The 3,627-nt window shown below is 50.9% G+C and overlaps 2 annotated features.

Annotated features, from left to right (window-relative positions):
* Positions 19-178: a silencer, noted in NCBI's record as "silent region_12919". NCBI's record gives its function as "represses an Ori minimal core promoter by ATAC-STARR-seq in GM12878 lymphoblastoid cells {active_cell/tissue: GM12878}" and the evidence as "EXISTENCE:reporter gene assay evidence [ECO:0000049][PMID:35858748]".
* Positions 339-388: an enhancer, noted in NCBI's record as "active region_17894". NCBI's record gives its function as "activates an Ori minimal core promoter by ATAC-STARR-seq in GM12878 lymphoblastoid cells {active_cell/tissue: GM12878}" and the evidence as "EXISTENCE:reporter gene assay evidence [ECO:0000049][PMID:35858748]".

Genomic DNA, 3,627 nt, shown 5'->3' with positions numbered 1-3,627 from the left:
GCCCAGGCTCCACTCCCTGGAAAGACCCCGCCCCTGCTCCGATCCCCGCCCAGGGCGCCCTTTGGCCTCGGAGGCGGGGGCGGGGCCAGACTTCATGCCCCGCCCACCAGACCCCGCCCCAAGTCCCTGTGCCACCGCCTGCCCCACCTCCAGAAAAGTGTGGATTTCGGAACGGGGCGGACCTAGCTCCTCCCAGATTTGCTTCCAGCTTGCTGTGTGATCTTGGGTGAATTCCTTCCTCAATTTGATCCCATTTCCTGTTTTGTCAAGGGGGAAAGCCGCCTTGCAGGATTTTAGAGATGACATGAAATGACTTTGCGCGGCTCCTGGCGCTCAAACGTCCCCTCCTGGGGGCAGCTTTTCCTGAACCCACCCGTATCTCCCAGACTGGACAGGCCCCTCGCGTCATCTGTTCGCATAGCCCACAGTTGTAATTTCATATTTGCTTGAATGACTACTTGATTAATGTATATCTCTTCATTTAAATTTGAACTCTGAGAGCAGGTCACGTACATCCTTACACTCCAGCGCTTATCAGTACCTCGCCTGACAAACAGCAGGCGCTCCATAAATGCCCGCACCTTCATTCCATCCCTGGGACGTTCTGGTCGAGCGGCAGCGGGCTCAATACTGACACTGGCCAGCAGGGGGCAGGCGGTGATCAGCCTTCTGGCCCAGCCGCGCTCCCTCCCTGTCTGCAGGCACTGCGGGAGGGGACAGGTGAGCCCAGGTGCGCCGAGGCACGCGGAAGGTGCATTTACTCTCGTGCCTTGGGCAAGGCCCGGGCCGGGAACGGCTTTTTCCTCTTGGATCTGTGGCTCGCGGCTTTCCTGGACCAAAGACCTTTCCGACGCCCTATGGCCCCTGCAAAGAAGCTGCCCTGAGAAGGGCCTGGAGATGAAGTAATTTGTTCTAAAAGAGAGAGGGCACCGAGGAAAGGCTTGGCGGAGCAGCAACGGCGACGAGCCAGGCTTAGAAACGACTGGGCGGTGAGGAGGAGAGGTAGCTGCCATTATTCTGACTCAGGGTGACAGAACCTGTTTGGAAGTGACTGGCCTCAGTTGTCCTCATTTTGGCAGAAGTCATTTAGTATCAGTCCTGATCCCAGGTAGTGTCTGGCTGCTATCTCAGAAGAGCCCTGTTGGGAGCAGAGCTATGTCAAGGTGGCCAGGAGGGCAGCGTCATACATACCATTTTCTGTAACATCAGGAAATCCCTGAAGGGAGCCCGAGAAGGAAGGAAGGAGAGGTCACAGGTTGGGGCTACAGATGCCGAAATCAATTTACCTCTTTGAGCCTCAATTTCATCGGCAAAGGTGGTGATAAAAGCTACCTTGCAGGATTCTATTGTGAGGATTTACAGGATGAATTAAATAAGTGGTTCTCAACCTTGACTGTGTGTTAGAATCACTGTGCCCTAGACGAATACTGATGCCCCGGATACTGGGAGTTTAAAAACCTCTCCAGTTGGTTGTAATGTACAAACAAGGCTGAGAACTGCTGATCCAAATTAAATGCAGAGCACAGCGCCAGGGCACACACTAGGCATTCAGGAATGTTTATCACATATTTATTTTTATTTAAAAAATTTTTGTGTCACACATTTTTAAAGATGGAGCACAAATTGTTTTCATTGTTCATTGTTAGAGGAAAAAAAGTTGATATAAAGGTTGTTGCAGAAATTGCATTTGCGGCTGGGGTGAGGTGGCTTACGCCTGCAATCCCAGCACTTTGGGAGGCAGAGGTGGGCGGATCGTCTGAGGTCAGGAGTTGGAGACCAGCCTGGCCAACACGGTGAAACCCCATCTCTGTTTTTTTGTTTTTGTTTTTGTTTTGAGATGAAGTCTCGCTCTGTCACTCAGGCTGGAGTGCAGTGGCACCATCTCTGCTCACTGCAAGCTCCACTTTCCGGGTTCACGCCATTCTCCTGCCTCAGCCTCCTGAGTAGCTGGGACTACAGGGGCCCATCCCCATGCCCAGCTAATTTTTTGTATTTTTAGTAGAGACAGGGTTTCACTGTGTTAGCCAGGATGGTCTCGATCTCCTGACCTCGTGATCCACCCACCTCAGCCTCCCAAAGTGTTGGGATTACAGGCGTTAGCCACTGCGCTCGGTCCCCCGTCTCTATTAAAAATACAAAAAAAAAAAAAATTAGCCAGGCATGGTGGTGCACAGCTGTAGTCTCAGCTACTCAGGAGGCTGAGGCAGGAGAATCACTTGAACCGAGGAGGTGGAGGTTGCAGTGAGCTGAGATGGCGCCTCTGTACTCCACCCTGGGTGACAGAGCAAGACATTGTCTCAAAAAAAAAAAAAAAGAAAAAGAAAAATTGCATTTCTGACAGGCTCGTTTCTGGAACTCTCAATCATCTGGGATTTGGTGATGAGGGTAGGAGAAGAAAGGCAGATAGAACAGCCTCTGCTAGTATGACTTGTTCTAACACTGAATGGAACTGAATAAGGCAGAGACTGTCCCACTCTAGCTTGTGGTTGACATCACCATCTCCAGGGCTTTCTCTGAGGGTGCAAGCAGCATGGACACTTGTGTTTGCCCATTTCTGGGGTTGAAGGTGGAGGCCATTTTTTCCTCTGCTTGGGTATACTCATCGGATGAGCCTATATCACTGGCAGCTGTTTGTTTCTTCATTAATCCAAGAATGCAGGTGGTACTTCCTTCTTTACAGAATTTGGTAGCTTATGTGTTTTATTGTTTTTTTGTTTTGTTTTAGACAGGGTCTGGCTCTGTCACCCAGGATGGAGTGCAGTGGCACAATCACAGCTCACTGCACCCTTGACCTCCTGGGCTCAAGCAATTCTCCTACTTCAGCCTCTCGAGGAGCTGGGACCACAGGCATGCATGATCACACCTGGCTTTTTTTTTTTTTTTTTTTTTTTTTTAGAGACAGAGTCTCGCTCTGTTGCCCAGGCTGGAGTGTAGTGGCACAATCTCGGCTTATTGCAACCTCCGCCTCCCAGGTTCAAGCGATTATTTGCTTCAGCCTCATGAGTAGCTGGGATTACAGGTGCCTGCCACCATGCCTGGCTAATTTTTGTATTTTTAGGAGAGATAGAGTTTTGCCATCTTAGCCAGGCTGGTCTTGAACTCTTGACCTCATGATCCACCCGCCTGGGCCTCCCAAAGTGCTGGTATTACAGGCGTGAGCCACGGTGCCCAGCCACATCTAGCTAATTTTTAAAAATTTTTTGTAGGGATGGGTGTCTCACTATGTCACCCAGGCTGGTCCCGAACTCCTGGGCTCAAGCAATCCTCTTGTCTCTGCCTCTCAAAGTCCTGGGATGAGTCATTCCATTCACCCTATGTGCTTTGTTAATTTACAGACCCAGTGGTTAGTGACTGTGCCCCTCTACTTTCTTGCTGGGTGAACCTGGCATGAGGTGAGAGGGCCCCCTTACCCAGGCCTGTAGTTGTGATCACTCAGAGCAGCAATACTGGCTTCTGGGAGCAGCTCATCAATCACTCCTGGTGGCTTTGTTGAAGGTGGGAAGGGAGGCAGTGGACCCTGGGGCTGGGTCTCCCACTGCATGCAGGACTAAGGGCTGGGGGGCAGGCAACTGGTGTCTAGTTGGGATTGCCAGATTCAGCAAATAAAAATAAAGGACACTCATGTAA

Source organism: Homo sapiens, chromosome 20 (genome assembly GCF_000001405.40).
Source record: "Homo sapiens chromosome 20, GRCh38.p14 Primary Assembly".
NCBI classification, from domain to species: Eukaryota; Metazoa; Chordata; class Mammalia; order Primates; family Hominidae; genus Homo; species Homo sapiens.
Note: the sequence above shows the minus strand (reverse complement) of the source record. Positions and strands in the feature narration are given on the sequence as shown.